At 41.1% G+C, this 20,211-nt stretch overlaps 2 long non-coding RNA genes across 4 annotated transcripts; one reads left to right on the top strand and one right to left on the bottom strand.

Annotated features, from left to right (window-relative positions):
- Positions 1-1,587: 1,587 nt before the first annotated feature.
- On the bottom strand, positions 1,588-15,959 carry LOC107984411 (uncharacterized). The gene is made up of 3 exons (XR_001748460.2): positions 14,285-15,959; positions 2,570-2,741; positions 1,588-1,709 (listed from the first exon to the last, which is right to left on the bottom strand). It is a non-coding gene; the product is annotated as an uncharacterized LOC107984411 (long non-coding RNA).
- Positions 5,697-14,268, top strand: LOC105369579 (uncharacterized). 3 transcript variants are annotated; one of them, XR_948204.3, is made up of 3 exons: positions 5,697-5,807; positions 9,317-9,539; positions 9,660-9,734. It is a non-coding gene; the product is annotated as an uncharacterized LOC105369579 (long non-coding RNA). The 3 variants fall into 3 exon arrangements; XR_948203.3 differs by lacking the exon at positions 9,660-9,734 and adding an exon at positions 13,355-14,268 and having other exon boundaries at positions 5,698-5,807; XR_001748461.1 differs by lacking the exon at positions 9,660-9,734 and having other exon boundaries at positions 9,317-9,614.
- Positions 15,960-20,211: the final 4,252 nt, after the last annotated feature.

The raw sequence follows: 20,211 nt of genomic DNA, 5'->3' as shown, positions 1-20,211 counted from the left end.
AGGACATTAAAAGGCATTGACCCATGGAGACACAATGCTACCATCCCCACATACAATGCCTCAGTTCAATCATGGGAGAGCACCCTTAGAAATCTCAACGTGAAAATCATCTACATCAATTTGGCCTTGCATGATGGTCCCAGGCTCCTTCTCTTCTGGAGAGAGAGAGTGTATGTGTGTGTGTGTGAGATTCCCCTAGTTTGCTATCTCAAATCAATTCTTTCATTTTGAGAACTTCCATGTTTTAAAATATATCCTTACATGAATGGTTGTCATTTTCTTCATCTCCCCTTCTATATTTTAATTCATTATCATATATTCCCCACTAAGGCAGTCTAAAACACACTTTTACATTCATCTCACTGTTCACTGAAAACTCAGTCTTCCCTTTCTTAAATCTCTCTCTCCCCACCCCCCCTTTCTTGTTTTTTGTGTTTGTTTTTGGTATTCTTGACTCCATTCCCCCTCCTTTGACAAATTACAGTTTATTAGTTGTTATGGCAACTCTGTATTGCTCTCAGTACCTCTCTCTCATGACGTGGCTACAAATGAAGAGGTTAGAAAAATGAAGATAGGCTTCACACTCCTCCAGTCTCTTCCCTAAGCCTTTCCACCATCCTCATTATCATCTCTACTCCCTGTCCCCCCAACCTTACACACAGGTAACAAAGAAGCCCAAAAATAAATAAATGAAAGACTATATCTCTTTGGTTGTCCACAGCAATATTATTTGCTACTATAACAAAAAAAAATGAAACAGTAGAATGCTTGAGCTGGAGTAGCATGTTGTGATTTGTGACACCTTTGGAGGCAGCTTCTCTGTTTTGGAACAGCAATCACCGCAACAGGCCAATTGTGTTAGGGGGAGACAGGTGGCACATTCAATTCTAATTCTTTCTGGCTTCAGCTTCTGCCATTCATGCCTTACCTAAGACCCCTATGGGGTGACTCTGATCAATGCCCATTAGAACTACCTCATTCCCTTGACCTTGGCCAAGATCCTATCTGAATCAGGACTAAACTTGTCTACTAAATTCATAAAAAGATCTCCCAACTTTTCACTAAATTATTCCAGACCCCACACTCCACACCCCTCAAGAAATACACTTCACTTCCATATATCTTCCTAAAAGTTATTTTGCTGTCACATTTTCTCTGACATCTGTCACCTTGGTATCTAAGCACTCTAGCAAATTCATGAGGCTAAAAACAAACACTTATGTGGGAAGGGGGAAAAAAGCTCTTCTTTTCTGCTCTCTTATCTCCATAGGGACAAAATAGCACAAAGATGCTATGATTCTACAAGGTCATGCTGTGCAAAGACAGCGTAACAGAGCCAAGAAAAGATGGCAAAATCCTAACTTCCAGTCCCTGACCTCCATAATGCAAATACATACTGTCTGGAGTCAGTGTCAGTGTTTCTGTAGAAATTACCAGGGGGAATTTTGTGGCTGCTGACCATAGCCAGGAAGGAATCTTCACAAAATGGAATATATTCCCTTCCCTTCCAGGGTCTGGACCTTGCCTCCTTCTCTCACTGCTGAACGTTCAAGCACTATTTCAACTTTAATACTTACTAACATTAACTGCAATGTTCAGAGATTTTATTTATTTAGCAAATCACTCAATCATTATTAATTGGCAGTCTTCCACAGTCAAGCACATGTTAGAGATGAGTAAGACTCTATCTCTCTTTGAGGATTTGTTATCTGTCAAGAAAAGATGAGATATATGTATAAAAATTATTACTGAGAAAATACTATTTCCAATTCTAAACTCCAAAGAGGGATAAAATCTACAAGGATTTTGTTCTAATAGATCTTACCATTACAGCAGAGAAAACAAGACAATAAACAACAGATAAACAAACAAGATATCTTACATCAAAACATAATAAAAGATAAAATGTGATATAATGAAGATATAGATGAAGAGCTCAACACCTTTTTTTTTCCACAGGGAATCAAAGTAGCTAAATGGAATGTATGATCTACTTCCAGAATTATGTTTGTAGCAACCGAGACCTCTGAATGTAAATGATTTTTCTCCAGTAAGCAAATATTGCAGATGTTGCATTCACCCATGAGTGACCTATGTGGAGCAAGAGATTCAGCACCTGTAACAAGCTGGTGACCAAAATATTTTAAAGAATTTGGAAGCAGTTGAAATATAAGTTGTTCAAATCCAGAAGAGAATTAGTTTAAAAATATAGGATCTCTGGGAACGGTTGCAATCCATTGGCCACTTGATGGCCTACTAGTCAAAAGAGAATGAACTTATACCTCCACCCTAATTATTTAAACAGGTTACCTTACAGTTGCTGAAAACTAAAGAAGCAATCCTAACCTCTTTGTCTTTAAAAATAACTTTAATAGTTTTGTTTTTAATGTTGCAGCATTCAGGTACATATTAGGTGATAAATCTCTTCTAACATTCATTCTATCATTAGTCCACACTTACCTGTACCCCTGAGATTCAGCCAGTTGAGCAACATAAAGACCTTAGCTCCTCAAACAAATGGCTTCCAGGAAACTTATTTATGCACCCCCATTGCATATTCTCTGCTTACCTAAAAGCTGCCATTCAAAATATTCACTGTCCCTCACTTGTAGACTGGTCCAGGAAGATGATGTATATTATCAGTCTTCAGAGGAGGTATTAAGCTTTCTGACCAAGGATACTTTTTAGATGGTGACACAGGAAAGAGGAGCTCAAGCAGAGCACGTGAGCCCATATGAGACCTGGAAACAGACATCAGCATTCAGAACTACTAAAACTCCTTGAATTTGAGTGACAGGGTAAAGAACGGGAGAGAGCTGCAGAGAGAAGCTACCTCAAGTGGTGAAAGGCTCAAGGCCTAGCAGAGAATGGATGCTCTGGGCCTTAGAGCTAAATGAAGATCCTAGAGTTTGCATAATTCTAGGAGGTGAGTATAGAGACCTTATGGTAAGCCTTGGACATTCCATTGAGACTTCAGAAAGGTCTCCACTTAGGAGTAAGAACCATGCCCTGAAGAAAGAGCCACATCCTAGGGCTAAGGATAAAACTGAACTTGACCCATTTAATCCAAATAAAAACAATCCTAACAGGTTCAAAAAGATCTGCCAACAATTTAACTGCCTGCCAGGACAAAATTCAGCTTTCTTTTAAAAAGGACAAGGTAATCCAGACTCCTTACAATGTATCACCTACAGGGTCTACCATACAATAACAAATTACTAGAATGCAAAAAAATAGCCAATAGAAGCAGACCCTAAGATGGCCCCATTGGAATTAGCAAGCAAGAACATTAAAATAGCTATCATCAACATGTCAAAAGAAAATATAATATTAAAAGATAATGTAAATATAACTGAGTACTTGGAAGTCTCAGAAGACATTTTAAAAATTAAATGGACATTCTAATAGTGAGATTACAATATCTGAAATAAAATGTGCTGAATGAGCTTCACACAAATAAGAGATGGCAGAGGAGATAGTCAGTGAGCTTGTACATATCCCTATTTAGTATTTAAACTGAGAGAGAGAGAAAGACTTTTTAATAAATAGAAATAACAGAAATTTAGTGTTCTGTGAAAAAAATCTTAAGTGTTGTAATATACCCATAGTTAATTTCCAAAAGATGAGAGAAAAAGGGAAGAAAAAATGTTTAAATAATAACCAAACATTTTCAAATAAGCCAAGAATTTGACCTTCAAATTTAAAGTCAATGAACCCAACGTAGAATTTTATTTTTATTTCAATAGTTTTTGTAGGTGTAGGTGGATTTTCGTTACATGGATAAGTTCTTTAGTGGTGATTTCTGAGATTTTGATGCACCAGATGTAGAATTTTTTTAAAACCCCTAATGCATTATATATAAATTACTGAAGCCTAAATATAAACAAAAAATATTTAAAGAAGCCAGTGGGGAAAAACATACATTGCATATAGTAGAACAACAATATTAATGATGACTAACTTCTCATAAGAAATAATGACCTCTCCCTCTCCCTCTCCCTCTCCCTCTCCCTCTCCCTCTCCCTCTCCCTCTCCCCCTTCACACGGTCTCCTTCCACGGTCTCCCTCTGATGCCGAGCCAAAGCTGGACGGTACTGCTGCCATCTCGGCTCACTGCAACCTCCCTGCCTTATTCTCCTGCCTCAGCCTGCCGAGTGCCTGCGATTGCAGGCGCGCGCCGCCACGCCTGACTGGTTTTTGGTTTTTTTTTGGTGGAGACGGGGTTTTGCTGTGTTGGCCGGGCTGGTCTCCAGCTCCTAACCACGAGTGATCCGCCAGCCTCGGCCTCCCGAGGTGCCGGGATTGCAGACGGAGTCTCGTTCACTCAGTGCTCAATGGTGCCCAGGCTGGAGTGCAGTGGCGTGATCTCGGCTCGCTACAACCTCCACCTCCCAGCCGCCTGCCTTGGCCTCCCAAAGTGCCGAGATTGCAGCCTCTGCCCGGCCGCCACCCCGTCTAGGAAGTGAGGAGCGTCTCTGCCTGGCCGCCCATGTCTGGGATGTGAGGAGCCCCTCTGCCTGGCTGCCCAGTCTGGAAAGTGAGGAGCGTCTCTGCCCGGCCGCCATCCCATCTAGGAAGCGAGGAGCGCCTCTTCCCCGCCGCCATCCCATCTAGGAAGTGAGGAGCGTCTCTGCCCGGCCGCCCATCGTCTGAGATGTGGGGAGCACCTCTGCCCCGCCGCCCTGTCTGGGATGTGAGGAGCGCCTCTGCTGGGCCGCAACCCTGTCTGGGAGGTGAGGAGCGTCTCTGCCCGGCCGCCCCATCTGAGAAGTGAGGAAACCCTCTGCCTGGCAACCGCCCCTACTGGGAAGTGAGGAGTCCCTCTGCCCAGCCAGCCGCCCCGTCCGGGAGGGGGGAGGGGGGGTCAGCCCCCTGCCCGGCCAGCCGCCCCGTCCGGGAGGGAGGTGGTGGGGGCCAGCCCCCCGCCCGGCCAGCCGCCCCGTCCGGGAGGTGAGGGGCGCTTCTGCCCGGCCGCCCCTACTGGGAAGTGAGGAGCCCCTCTGCCCGGCCACGACCCCGTCTGGGAGGTGTGCCCAGCGGCTCATTGGGGATGGCCCATCATGACAATGGCGGTTTTGTGGAATAGAAAGGCGGGAAGAGTGGGGAAAAAATTGAGAAATCGGATGGTTGCCGGGTCTGTGTGGATAGAAGTAGACATGGGAGACTTTTCATTTTGTTCTGTACTAAGAAAAGTTCTTCTGCCTTGGGATCCTGTTGATCTGTGACCTTATCCCCAACCCTGTGCTCTCTGAAACATGTGCTGTGTCCACTCAGGGTTAAATGGATTAAGGGCGGTGCAAGATGTGCTTTGTTAAACAGATGCTTGAAGGCAGCATGCTCGTTAAGAGTCATCACCACTCCCTAATCTCAAGTACCCAGGGACACAAACACTGCGGAAGGCCGCAGGGTCTTCTGCCTAGGAAAACCAGAGACCTTTGTTCACTTGTTTATCTGCTGACCTTCCCTCCACTATTGTCCTATGACCCTGCCAAATCCCCCTCTGCGAGAAACACCCAAGAATGATCAAAAAAAATAAATAAATAAATAAATAAATAAATAATGAAAGCTGGAAGATAAATGAATGAATTATATGTGGTGCTGAAAGAAAAAAAAAAAGAACAATTGGCCCAGAACTTTATAGATTTCAAAAATAATCTTCAAGGTGAAAATAAAATAATTTTTAGATAGGTGAAAACTGAAAGAATTCATGTTCAGCAGGCCTCCATGATGTAATACTCGAAGGAAGCTCTTGGAACAAAAGAAGGGAACTTCTGATATGCAAGAAAGAATGAAGAGCTCAGGAATAGGTAAATATGCGGATAAAAATAATATTTTTTTCTTCTCTTAATTTCTTTTATAAACAATTGGCTTTCACAGCATAAAATGTATTTTATGGTTTTAGCACATTTCAGAGTAAAATATATGAAAGCAGTACTAGAAAAAGTGAGGGTAAATGGAATTACACTCTTATAGGATTTTTACATTTTATATTATAAGGTACAATATTAACTCTAAGTAGACTGTAAAAAGGTAAGGACTTCCTAGTGCTTCCTAGAATGACTATGAAAAATAGAGAGGTAAAGCTAAAAAGCCAATAGAAAAAATTAAATTGGATACTAAAATAATTTGGTGAATTCAAAAGAAGGCAGAAAAGGAAAAACAGAAACAAAGAAGATGAGGCAAACAGTCAGTAAATAGCAAGATGATACATTAAATCCAGGATCATCAATAATTACATTTAAAGCAAATGCACCAAACTCCAGTTAAGGGCATAGATTTTCAGACTGTATAGGAAAAAAAAAAGACTCAATTACATCCTGTCTACTAGACATGCATGGTAAATACAATGACCCTGATAGGTTGAAAGTAAAAGGATGGAACAAGATAAATCACACAAATAGTAATCATAAGAAACCTTGTGTGGTTATATTGATATCAGACAAAAGAGACAACAAGAAATCTTACCAAAGACAGAGATATATCACAATAGTAAAAATAGATTATTTCTTTTGGAAGATATGACAATCCTAGAACTGCGTGTGCTTGTAATATTAGAACTTCAAAATACACAAAGCAGGAAAAGACATGAATAAAGAAAGAAACAGAAAAATACACAGTTATAGCTGGAGATTTTTAAATCCCTCACTCAGAAATTATTAGAATAACTAGAAAAAAAGTCAAAAAGGAAATACAAAGGTTTGTACAACAATATAAACTGCCTTGATATAACTGAAATTTTCAAAACACTATAACCCCAAAACTATAGAATAGACATATTTTCAGGCATATATGGTATAACATATATACATGTGTAGCACATACAAACCATATGTTGTAAACATATGTAAAATAAGTTTCAATACATTTCAGAAGATTGAAATCTTACACATGTTCTCTGACAACAAAAGATTAAGTACAAAAATACTAACTATATGTACGCAGAAATGCTCAAATATTTGGAAATTAAGCAACATACTTCTAAATAATTCATGGAGCACAGTATAACTAATAAGAGAAGTCAGGAAATACAGTTAAACCTTGAACAACATGAGTTTGAGCTGCAGGGGTCCACTTATACGTAAATTTCTTTTCAACCCAATGTGGTAAAAATACAATATTCTCTTGATGCAAAACTCACGTATATGGGGGCAAACTTTCTGTATATATCTGCAAGACTTGAGTACGCACAGATTCTGTTGTACTCCAGAATCCTGGAACCAAGTCCTCATGTATACTGAGACATAACTGTACTGAACTAAATGATAATGAAAACACAACATGTCAAAATTTGTATGATACCTCTCAAATGGTGGTAGGAGGGAATTTATTACTTTGAAAATAGGTGATCTAAGTTTCCAGTATAAAAAGGTAGAAAAAAAGAGAAAATTAAACCCAAAATAAATTAAAAAACAAAACAAAACACGGTTCTTTAAATTGTTAATAAAGTTGAGTAAACCTGAGCAAAATCAATCAGGAAAAAAAGAGAATATAGTAATTACCAGCATCAGAAATAAAAAGGGGGATATCACTACAGATCCTACAGACATAAAAAGAATAATAAAGAATATTGTAATAACTTTATGCCTCTAGATTTAACAACTTAGATGAAATGAACAAAATCCTTGAAAACACAATTTTATAAAACTGATACAAAATTATAGAACATAAAAATAGTCCATATGCAGTTTTCTTTTAAAGTGAAATTCATAACCATAAAGAAAATCCAAATGGCCTATTAGTTCTATGGCATAGAGAAAAAATAATATAATAATTCATAAACTACTTCAGAAAATAAAGAATGATCATTTCATCTCTTGTTTTACAAAGCCAACCAAATTATGATATCAAAACTTAACAAATACACTTTAATTAAAAAAAATTATAGCCAAATAAGACTGAGCATAAACACAAAAACTTTTCACACAATATTAGCAAATTAAACCTAGCACTATACAAAGCTTCCAAGTGGGGTTCATACCAGGCATGCAAGATTGCTTTAATATTCAAAAATCAGTCAATATGATCCATCATATTAACAAAATCCAGAAGAAAAACTGTGTATTATATCAATATATAATCATCTTAAAAATTATTTGGGGCCAAGTGCAGTGGCTCACCTCTGTAACCCCAGCACTTCGAGAGACGGAGGCAGGTGGATCGCTTGAGGTCAGGAGTTCAAGACCAGCCTGGCCAATGTGATAAAACTCTGTCTCTACTAAAAATACAAAAATTAGCCAGGCATGGTGGTGTACCCCTGTAATCCCAGCTACTCGGGAGGCTGTGGCAGGAGAATTGTTTGAACCCATGAGGCAGAGGTTGCAGTGAACCAAGATTGTGCCACTGCACTCCAGTGGGAAACAGAGCAAGACACCATCTCAAAAAAAAAAAAAAAAAAAAAATTGGCAAAACTCAACACCCATTCATAGTTGAAACTCTAAGCAAAGTAGAAATAGACAGAACTTCTTCTTAATGTGATAAAGGACATCTACAAAAAGCCCCTGATTAACATACTTAATAATGAAATATTGAACTCCTTCCCCTTTCTTTCATAAACGAAGTGTGAATGTTCCTTTTAACTAAATCTATCCTACATTATACTGCTAACCAGTAAAATAAAGCTTGAAAAATAAATGAAAAGCATAAAAATTAGAAATGAGGAAATTTCATTTATTCAATGATATTATTATAGTTTACATAGAAAATCCTAAAGAATTTATACTTTAAAAAGCTATTAGAACTTATAAGTAAATAAAGTAAGATCACAGCATATAAAGTCACTATATAAATATCAATATGCAAAATTAGAATAATAAAATTTTAAAATAACATTTACAATAACATTATGAAACAAAAAATATTTAGGAATAAAATTAACAAAAGAGGTACCAGAGTTGTGAATCAAAAGCTACAAAATATTATTGATAGAGATAAAAAATAAATAAATGAGGAGAAATAAGCTGTTGATAGATTGGAGAATCAATATTATTGAAATGTCAAATCTCCCCAAATTTTCTATAGAGTCAATGCAATCCTATGAAAAATTTCAACCAGCCATTTTATACAAATCAATAAATTTATTCCAGCATTTACATAAAACTACAAAGGGCCTAGGATAGCCAAAACAACATTTTTAAAAATACATTTGGAGAGCTTACATTACCTGGTTTCAAAGCTTACAAGATTTCACTGCGGTGTTTATTACACTGTATATGTATTTTTCAAAGCTCATTGAATTGCACTTGAGATCTTGGCCTTTAATTGCATGTGAATTTTACCACAATAAGAAAAATAATAAATTGCAATTTCCTCTTGGTAGACTACATCACAAGAAGGTCAGGGTGCTTTCTGCTGAGTATCGATGAAAGCGGACAAGAATATATACAGCAGAGCTCTTTTCGCTCTGTCTTCTTCAGTAAGCAATGCTGGTGGATTCTTCTGCATCAACTTGGTTAAACTGAAACAACTTATCCCAGAATTTCTTCTGTATATATTTCCAAGTTAGAGTCGGCCAAAAGAAAAATTTGCACAAGATCTGGAAGGTAGGAGTGAAACAGCAACCAATATTCTCTGAAGCTGCCATGGTCAGATGTAGTGATAAACACATGCAAATTGCCTGACGGGTTTCACTTTTTTCTCACTCTTTTCCATTCCACATTCAGCCCTCTCCTCAAGTGACACATCTGGTAACCCAGAAAATACTCAGGCTCATCATCAGACACCTGGCTGCAGACCCACAGAGGCTATAGCTGCATAGAAGCAACATTTCCCATGGTCCTCCAAGATGCCCCCTTTATGGTTGACTTCAGAGACTGGACACAGTCTCAGATTGTCCATTGGCTACTGACTCATATTCTGTTCCTCCAACTCGTTGCGTGGACCTCTGCTACCCAGTTCCTTCTCAATTGTGTAAGGTCTAATTGCCATCATAAACATCTTACCCACACTTACCATGACTCTGATTCCCTGGCTGAATCATGACTTATAACACAGCAACCCTTTCATCTCTGATGCTGAATCTGATTCGCTCAATGACAGCAAAGGGTGATGTGGGCTTGCTTGATGAATTACATGTAGGTGGAGGAATTGGGTGCAGCCTTTTAGTAAAACTAACTACTGCAGGGTTAGAAGTCAAAGAGATGACAATGACAAACTTCAGGTGAGCTTTCATGTATCACAAAGCATCCTAAACATCTTAAGATGTACCCTCTTATTAAAAAATGCTTCTCTCCTAAGATAACTGATATGGGTTCCAATTCCAAAAGAGAAGGTCCCAATACATTCTTCCTCAGGCAACTGAGTAGGGGAATATACATAACCAAAAAGTGAGGCAACGTGTCAGGAGATGATAAAGGTGCATGTGCACATAGGCAGACATTTGTATTTCTCCATTAATAAAACAAAAACCATGTACATCCTTTGCAATGGAGAAAAATAAAGGGCATGTCAGAAACAACTAACCCAGCCTTGGTATTTAGAAGTTTATGAAACCCTAGAAAAATCGTCTTACATTCTTATTTCTTATTTTATTTACCACAAAACTAGCCATAAGACCCATCTTAACTTCTTCATAAAAGAGTAGAAAATAATTTGAGTTTCTGCTATGTGCTAGGCATATTTATTTTTGCAACTGTCCTATAAGGAAAATGATATTAGCCTCATTTTACAGATGAAATTGAGACTCAGAAATATTAAATAATGTATTTAAGGTCATGTAGCTTCTAAGAAGAAGAGCCATGATTTGATCTCATGTCCATCTGAGACTCACAGTCTTTTTACTAAACCACCCTCATTTCAGCACAAATCTCCATTTTAGAAAAAAAGGAAGAGCCGTCATGGGAATGCTTACCCTGTGAAATTATTTTGAAATAATTATAAAGACAATAATTTTTAAATACCTCCAGACCTGTGTATGCATGTATGTGTTCCTGGTCAAAGTAGTCACTTTGAGAGAATATACATACATCCCAATAGGTTCTAACATTAATGCAATTTTCCAACACATTTTTGGAACTTCCACAATTGTGCAGAATTGGAATTGCAGCACAATTGCTTTACACACACACACACACACATATACATATATATATATACAGATATATCTATATATACAATATATACACAAATTTTATATATTGATATGTACGTATGCAGATAGTAAGTATAAGGTACCCTCTTTCCTTTCTATTCGCTAACATACACATAAAATCCAAGGAGACTTTCATGAAAAACCACACTCCTTGGAGATTTTCAAGCAGAATTCAGGCAAGCACAGGCATTAGGTGTAGTTTAGAGGGAAGAGCTGCATCAGAAAGAAAGTTGAACAATATGACCTTTAAGGTCCTTCCCAACGCTGAGATTCCCTGTAATATAATTTGTTATGTTTGGTTTTTATAAGAAAACTCATTCTATTACATTATGGTCACACCTCATAAGAAGCACTATGCAAATGGAAGGTGGATCTTTGCTATGAATAATAATATTATGATTGTCTTTTTAGTAGAATCTCTAATTGCTAAATTAATTTCCCTCACTTCTCACCCACTGTGAGGCCAGATAGGCCCTCTGTGTATGATCTTATGGCACCCTGAACTTCCTCTGACTCAGCAGTGGTGGGACTCACAATTATTGTTTAATCCCCTCCAGGCCTTAAATTCCTTAAGGGCTAAGGCATACATCTTCATCAATGTGAATCAGGCCAGACTCAGAGGAAGAACTTCATAAGTATTTTAAATGAATAATAAATATATGTTGAGTGTCAAAAGCATAGTTGTGGAATCAACCTGAAACCCTTCCCTGTACTATCATTCCCATGGGAATACTTTATGTGGCATTTCCTAAAGGCTGTCCATGTGAAGACAAGGAGCGTGTCCCATGTGAGAGGGGATCCTGGCATGGGGGGGGCCAGTGAACACTGCACACACTAGGGGACAGTGAGGCTGCAGGGATGGCTCCCAAGTCAGAGGATTTGCTCCAGCGAAGGCAAACAGGGAGAACAGGGAGCCACGGAGGAAAGGAGGCACTTCCATTCCAAAGAAAGAGACAATCAAGAGCACAGACACAGAAGCAGAAACAGGCAAAACTTTCTGAATAGAAAACTGAGCAGCTCAGTGTGGCTGTGGTGTGCAGTCTGCTGTGGGGAGTGGTGGGAATTAGATGTTGACTTTGGTCGGGGGAAAAGGCCTTCAGTGCCAGGCATGGTAGGCTAAACCATGGTCCCCAACAATATCTAGGCTCTAATCCCTGGAACCTGTGAATGTTTCCTTCTATGGCAAATGTGACTTTGCAGATGAGGAGATTATCCTGGATTTGGTGACGGGCCCTAAATGTAATCACAAACATCCTTATAAGTGGGAGATGGAAAGGTTTGATAGTAGAGGAGAAGGCAATGTGAAGCCTGGACAGAGAGGATTAAAGATGCTGAGCTGCTCACCTTGAAGGTGGTGGAAAGGGCATGAGGCAAGGACCGCAGGAATACAGGCCCAGCAGTGGGAAAAGGCACAGAAATGCGTTCTCTCCTAGAACATCCAGAGGGAGCACAGCCCTGCCAACACCTTGTTCTCAGCACAGTGAAACACATTTAGGACTTTTGGCTTTCAGAACTGTGTGAGAATAAGTGTGTGTTGCTCTCAGTCACTGAGTTTGTGGTAATTTGTTACAGCAGTCACAGGAAACTCATACGACCAGGAGAAGGCATTTGAGTGTTACCCAATAAGCAATGAAGAGTCATGACAATCCAGGCAGAAATGGATTGGGGGAAGGCGAATGGAAGGGGTGTGGTGAGGGGGAAAGTGTGGAACAGTGGCTTGACTTTAGAAGTGGATAAAATCTCCCTGGATATTTTGTTAGCAAAGCATTTTGGGATCCTTTGGGATGAAAGGTGCTGCAGAAAATGTAATAACGCTAATAAATATTCTATGATTTCCCTGGAACATGTCCTCGGGTGAACTCCAAGGCGGCTCTTAATGTTACGATGAGAGATGTGGGAGGCTCCGCAGTTTGGGGTCTCAGGGTGCTATAGAAACCAAGATTATGTTTGTCTGCCTCCCCTAGGGACTGGCATCCTCTGAGCCTCACATGTCTTCTTCCCCAAACCTAATTCACATGAGCTCTGGGGAGCGGCAGCAAAGGGCAGAGTCAAGAGCTGTTCAAGGCAGCAATAGCAGGAAAAGAGAGTGTAATGAATTATTCAGCATTTCACCAGGGCAGCGCAAGACCAGCTCCAAATGCTGAGTGGGCGATGATTGGGGTAATCCATAGAGATGTGGGGAGAGTGGTTGGCTGAGACGACTAGAGTTAATGTTGGGGACATTTGTCCATGCTGGGCCTGAGACCCGCTAATTCATCTCCCTCACAGGTTGCAAGCTGGAAATTGAGGCTTCTACCCCCAGAAAGCTGATTTTTAAACCAGAGACTCAAGGTTCCCAATCTTTTTGACCCTTTATCATCTTTTGACAGTGCTTAAAGACTCGACAGAGGACTTGACCTTCAAGGTAAAAGAGCCCTTCATTCCATAACAGGCAGTATTCGTTCTATCTTAGAACTGAGGGGAGCATTGGAGGTCATGTCACTTAAACCACTAATTCTTCAATGGAGAAAACCCAAGATCAGGGAAGTCAAGTGACCCTGGGGAAACACCTCTGGTTTCCCAGCCAGGGATCTTGCACCTGGACCACACCTCTCCAGTTAATTTCCTCGTCGAGTAGGAGACTCATGCACCACCTGGGGCTAATGTTCTGGAGAAATATGTACCCGAAGGTCTTTGCCCTCTGGAAAAGTAAGGGACTTTTACACAGGACTTTAGCCTTTCTTTCTGTATCATGGTCTATTTCTGGACATTGAGACAAAATTCTCTTTCATCATGTTACCTTCAAATCTCAGACTCTCTGGGAGACCAAATCCAGTTTGGAGCTGAGCCCGCCTATAAGCAGAATTCATGAGAAAAGAACTGTAAGCATGGAGTTAGTAGACCTGGTTTCAGATGCTGGCCCTGTCACTTGTAGCATGTCATTTGATCTCCCTGCTCCCAGCTTCCTGAGATATAAATACAGGATAATAATACCCACCTCAGAGCTGCTGCAAAGATTGACTTGGATGATACAATGCATGCCAAAGCATTTAATAGAATTCTTAGAATATACTAATGCTGGATAAGCATGTGCTAGATGAGAATTTAAATGAGTTTTTAGGAACACAAGTATGAATATGAAGGTTTCCAAAAATACCTTCACTCACAGCCCCTTGTAAAAAAAAAAATGTCTAAAATTGCACCATTAGCGATACAGACCTCAGATTCTAGAAGGACTGCCAGCCATTGGGAATTCCCATCAAAATACACTTCAGAACCTCAAACCAATATTACTGAAGACCTCAGCAGGAAGTAATTGCTATGGGTAAGCAGCCAAGGTTCTGCAGAAATAAGAGAAGGGTGGAGAAGTGGGAGAAATAGGGAAGTGAGTTGTGCTGAATGGTCCCTGGAAGGCTTCACACACAGGAGACGTTTGAGTCCAATTCTCGACTTTCCTTTGGCCAAAAGTATGTGAAGTTAGAAATCTAATGCTATTTCTACATTCTAAAACATTCCCAGAAACAATGTTTGTTTTATGTTTTTGTTTCCCTGGTTTTCTACTATGATTGAAAGGGAGGGAGGGCAGCCTCCCACCAACCTCTCCTGGAGCTGTGGACTCCTCTGGGCTTTGTGCTCTGCAGGCAGGCAATCTGCACCTGCCCCCTGCATTCTGGCTTCATTCAGACATCTGGGCTTTTGCTGTTTGATACACACTTATTGAACTATTGAAGACATCAAGATAAATAAAGCAACATCTTTCCCTTGACAAGTTCATGGTCAAATAGAAGATACAGACCTGAAGCAAGTAATTATTATAAAATGTGATCATTTCATGAATGCCAGGGGAAACTGGATATGAAAAGGGTGTTTTTCTGGCTTGGGGATTTAGAAATAGGGGCAGACGTGGAAGGCTTCACAGGAGGAGACATTTGAGTGCTGACGGGAGCCAAACAACCTTTGGATGGGAAGAAAATTCCAAAGAGAGAGGATAGCCTTCGCCAAAGAGTTGAGATGCATAAGGGCCAAGCATCTTTGGTGACTCTAACACTGCAGGTGTTGTGCCAGTTATTAAGGTGTTGTCCCCTCAGCTCCTCCTCGCCCTTCTCTACCCAGCTGTGTGGTGCTAGGGCTGGGGCCTCCTTTGGAGCTGGCTGCCTGTTAGGACCCACAAGGAGCTGGCTCTAGAGAGGGAGCCCCTACCTGCTGGCTGTGCTTCCCATCAGCATTGCCCCAGTAATGGCTCTTCATCCTGGCAGCTGCAAGTGTCCCAACCTCTAGGATCATGGACTCCCAGCCTTACGGGACCTCTCATACAAGTGCAAGCCATGGCAGGGGGGCTCCCTCTCATTAGAGGTCTAAGCCCAGTTCCACAAGGGGCTTTCTCCAAACTTCTGAATCCCAGCAGAAGTTGAGTAACCCCTCTTCTCCTTAGAGGTATGAGAACCTCCCCTGAGAGAACCCTCCTCTGAGCCCTGAGTTACTAGCAGCTGTCTAGTACTTCTCCCTCCTCAGAAATCTCAGCCATATCTCCACAGCTCTCTAAGTTTCTAGGTTCTAATAATTCCAATCTCTGCTTTTTGACCCTCCAGCTTTAGGATCAATAGCTCCTTCTGTGGTTAAACCTTTGTATACCTTGGTGTCACCTTTTCATATTTTCAGTCCTGCAATACCAGGCTAATTGGTTCCATATTTTCGCTGTTCAAATACATAGAGAGGTTCCTGTTCTCCTCCCTGTAGGCTGACTAATACATCCTACAAGAGATACAAGACAGAATGAAACTGGGTCATGCAGGACTTTATACCCTGCCAAGAGCTTTCGACTCCATTTTACAGATCAGGAGTGGGGAGCCCTGTCCATCTGAGAAAGAGGGTGGTGATGCAGGGTGTGTTGCAGTGAGACATGGGACTAGAGGAAGTGAGGACTGAGGCAGGGAGGTGGGTGAGGAGGAAGTTTCAATGATCCAGGCATGGCATGGTAAGAATCTGGCCACTGCAGAGAACAAGGTGGAAAAGAAGTGTGTTGAAAGTCCGCTGAGAAGACTCCTTCTATTAGTAGGCAGTCCATATGACTGGCAGGAGCAGGCTCAGGGCTCCACACTTCATAATGCAGGCATCCCACCCTTTCCCTTGGGGTTTAAGAGATGTGGTCCTGGCCTCTGCAAGAGAAACAGGTCCCTGAAGAGGCAGTGTGACCTTGAAGTAAAGAGATGAGCACTGGGTTGGAACCTTACTTCCACCCCAATATAGATGTAACTTTGTATAAAATACTGAACACACCAAGATCGATTTCCTTAAAATGCCTGCATTGAATGGTTTAAGTATCATGTTTCCCCCAAACTGACTGGTAATCAGCATTACCTATAGAGCCTTTGAAAAAAAAAAAAAAAAGTCAATTCTTAGACCTTGCCCTAGACATTCTGAATTTAAAATTTCCCAAATATGGGTCTCAAAGTCTGACATTTTTTACACTTCCCTGGTAATTCTGGTGAGAAGCTATGTTTGGGAACCACTGACTTAGAAGTTAATATAGATAATGCACATGACCGTATCTAGCTTACAATTCACTGTAGCAGACACGGTTGGCTGTCAATGTCCCACCCATGCTTCCTCTTGGCACTTGCCACCCTAGTACATGCAGATGGCCTCCTAGTGCAAGCACCTGTGACTCTTTGCCTGAAAGCTTCTCTGGCTGCAGGAGCATGCTTGGCCCTCAAGTCAGACAACTGGAAGGCATTTTTTATACTCTGGGACTGAGTCCTAGTTGCTCACAGAAGCAACCTGCTTATGATCACATGCTGATAGGCTTCCTTCCTTCCTTCCCCTCTCACCCAAACACTCCTCTACCAATTCATCCTGACATCACACCCCAAATAAACTACTCACCTTCAAATCCTCTTCCCAAGATCAACATCTGGATGAACCAAACCTAAGACATATGTACTTAGTCACTGTCAGAGTCTTCCTTCTGTATCTTATGGTCTCAGGCTCGGAGGATGGGGAATGACAATGATCATCTAGCCCACATTGGTAAGATACTTTAGAGATTACACCATTCCTCTACTGGCATTTTGCATCTCATCTGATCTTCACAACAACCTTGGCCATTGGGAAGTACCATGTTCTATTTCCATATGAGGAAACTGAGATCCTGTTTGTTAAATGACTTACACAAGGCCACCAGAAAAAAATAATGCCAGGCCTCAAGTTTTAGTTTTCTATCCATAATAGTAACAGTTTCAAGAATCTGATGTAATCTATATGTCTTCCCCTGACTGAAAAGGAAGTGCAGATACTGACCTACTCACATTTTTATAGATTTTAGGCTCTTCATGGACTTCCAGTGTGCCTGTGGATCCTTATGGGAATAGGATATTAGGTGTTCATAGACCCATGTGAGGAAGGCTTGCATTTCTAGCAGGCTAGCTGGTAGAATATTTTCTCTCCTGGTTCACCTTTCTCCCCAGATTTCACTCAAGGCCACACACCCAGCCACAAGCTTCTTCTTGATGTTTTGAGCTAGAACATTAGTAGATCATAGAGCTTATCAACATCTGGTGTAATGTTGTGTGTTTAAGATAGGAAAGAGAAAGGCCCATGCTCTCTGGGAGCCTTCGTCAACAGTCAGAACTGACAGTCAACAATCAAACTATAAAAACAAAAAAAAAATCTATGAATAGATTCATTTTCAGAATCCATTCTGCAACAATGGATACTCAACAAATGGTGGTCTTTTATGGCAGAGGGTGTTAAGAGTCTCATTTCACAAAGGAGTAACCCTTCTCCTTTATTCATTAGCAAAGTTCTCTCAGCTGCCAGTCCACATGGTGCTGGAAACGTGGAAATTTTAGCGAATGCTCTGACAATGGCCATTCTTCAGGAGGCAGGAGCACAGATTCAGGAGCCAGAATATCTGATCTGGCTTTTGGGTCTAAGACTTCCTAGCATAGTGACCTCGGGCAAGTCATCTACATTGTCTGGGTTTCACTTTCTTCATCTGTAAGGTGGAGATAATAATACTACCTACTTCGTGGTGTTACTATGGAGAATAAATGATTTAATACCCATATCACACTAAGAAGGATGCCTGGCACTTAGCAAAACTCAGTATTCTTACTTCCTTAGCCTAGGTTCCCTGGAAAACTGAGGCAGAGCTCATGTGATAACCCTTAATAAGGGGAAGGAGGTAGGTGAAATCCCAGGAAACAAGAATGAGGTGGAAAGGAAGGGAAACAAGGAGGGAGAGAAAGGTCCAAAATCACGTGATAATGGGATGGCCACAGCTTCACAAGAAAACTCTGCTGGTTGTTCATTCCACAAGTCCTCTCCAGAGAGGCCACACAGAACTACTGCATCTAAGAACAATCCCTTAGGAAGGAAAAGACGGCAGTATATCTCCTGCCTCCTTTGCATCTCCCATTTCTAATGGTCATAGTTCACCTCACAGAGCCCTACTTCTTGGTCCTTCTGAGTACTGTGACCATGCTTCTCTGAGAAGCCAGGGCCCTTACATGTCTGCTCAGTAAGACCCAGCCCCAGGGAGCTTCCTGGGGAAAGTGGCTAAGGCTGCAGGGAGGGGGCGACAGAGTGGCCAAATGGATCTGGACATCACATTCGCTGGGTCGGCTATTACTATTGCTGTTGTTCTCTGAGAGCTGTTATTTTCAAACATGTACATTTATCCTGATTCACCCTTTTCTGCCAACCAAGTTGCAAAGCTGTTATATACCTGGTCTTGAACAGAGATTTTTCTCCTATTTCTCTCCAATCACGGGAACACTAGATCAAAGCTTCCTTCACTAAATTGAATTTCAATTCCCTGAAAGGACCATAGTGAATGTATGAGAAGAAATGGATTCGTAGCCAAGAAGCAGATGTGCGGTCAAGATTAATAGGAGATTTTCACTCTGAAACTAAAGATAGAATGCCTTCCACACTGGCCCTCTATGCATTGTGCTTCAGAACTAAGCAGGAGCTAGAGAAGAGGTCTACCAAGGAGAATTTAGGCTGCCTTCAACTCCACAACCTCAGCACTGACCAATAGGCTCTCAACATAAGAACCAAGAAGAATCTTGATTTCTCAAAGAACTAACAATAGATCTATCATTCTATCTAGAAATTTCACTACTAGGTACCTACTTAAAAGAAAAGAAGTCATTGCTTATTGTAGGACAATTCACAATTGCAATGATATGGAATCAACCTAAGTGCCCATCAACTGATGAGAGAATAAAGAACATGGTGTGTGTGTGTGTGTGTGTACACACGTGTGTGCACACACGTGTGTGCATCATGGAATACTACTCAGCCATAAAAAAAGAAATAACTCTTTTGCAGCAACTTGGATGGAACTGGCGGCCATTATTCTAAGTGAAGTAACTTAGGAATGGGAAGCTAAATACCACATGTTCTTACTTATAAGTGGGAGCTAAGCTATGAGTATGCAAAGGCATACAGAGTGGTATGATAGACATTGGATACTCACAAGGGGAGGGGGTGAAGAGGGGTGAGGGATGAAAAACTACCTGTTAGGTACAATATACACTACTCAGGTGATGGGTACACTAAAATCCCAGAATTCACCACTATACAATTCATCCAGGTTACCAAAAATAATTTGTAATCTTAAAGCTATTGAACTTTAAAAATAATAATAATCTGTCTTAGCCAGAGGCAGAAAGGTTCTTGCTAGTGGACAGTGCTGTAGGTTGAGTTGTGTGGATGCAGACTGTGAGGAGAGCACGGTATGCAAGGTGTCCATTAGGAATCAACAATTAGGAGAGAAAGGGGAGCAGGCAGGCCTGGGCAGGGGGAAGAGGAGTGCCATGTGGCAGGGAATTCTCAGCGAGTAGTGTCTGACAAAGTTTCCTCATGTTGGGCACAATGGCCAATATAAGGCACTTATATGCTCACTTTGCCCAGCCACCAAACATAGGCTGTCTCCAAAAGGACGACGTCACCTCAGATGAGGCCATTCCTTCCACAGAGGTAGATGCTGAGGACCTGAGAATGGGAAGATGCGTGCACCACATCTGGGCAGGATCCCTGAGGGGATCCGAGTGACACACCCCCAAGTCTTCCACAGTCTACCCCTTTGCCACTTGGATCCATTTCTCCACGTACGTTCGGGGAGTAACCCCTCCAGAATT

The sequence above is a fragment of the Homo sapiens genome, chromosome 11 (genome assembly GCF_000001405.40).
Source record: "Homo sapiens chromosome 11, GRCh38.p14 Primary Assembly".
Lineage (NCBI taxonomy): Eukaryota > Metazoa > Chordata > Mammalia > Primates > Hominidae > Homo > Homo sapiens.
Note: the sequence above shows the minus strand (reverse complement) of the source record. Positions and strands in the feature narration are given on the sequence as shown.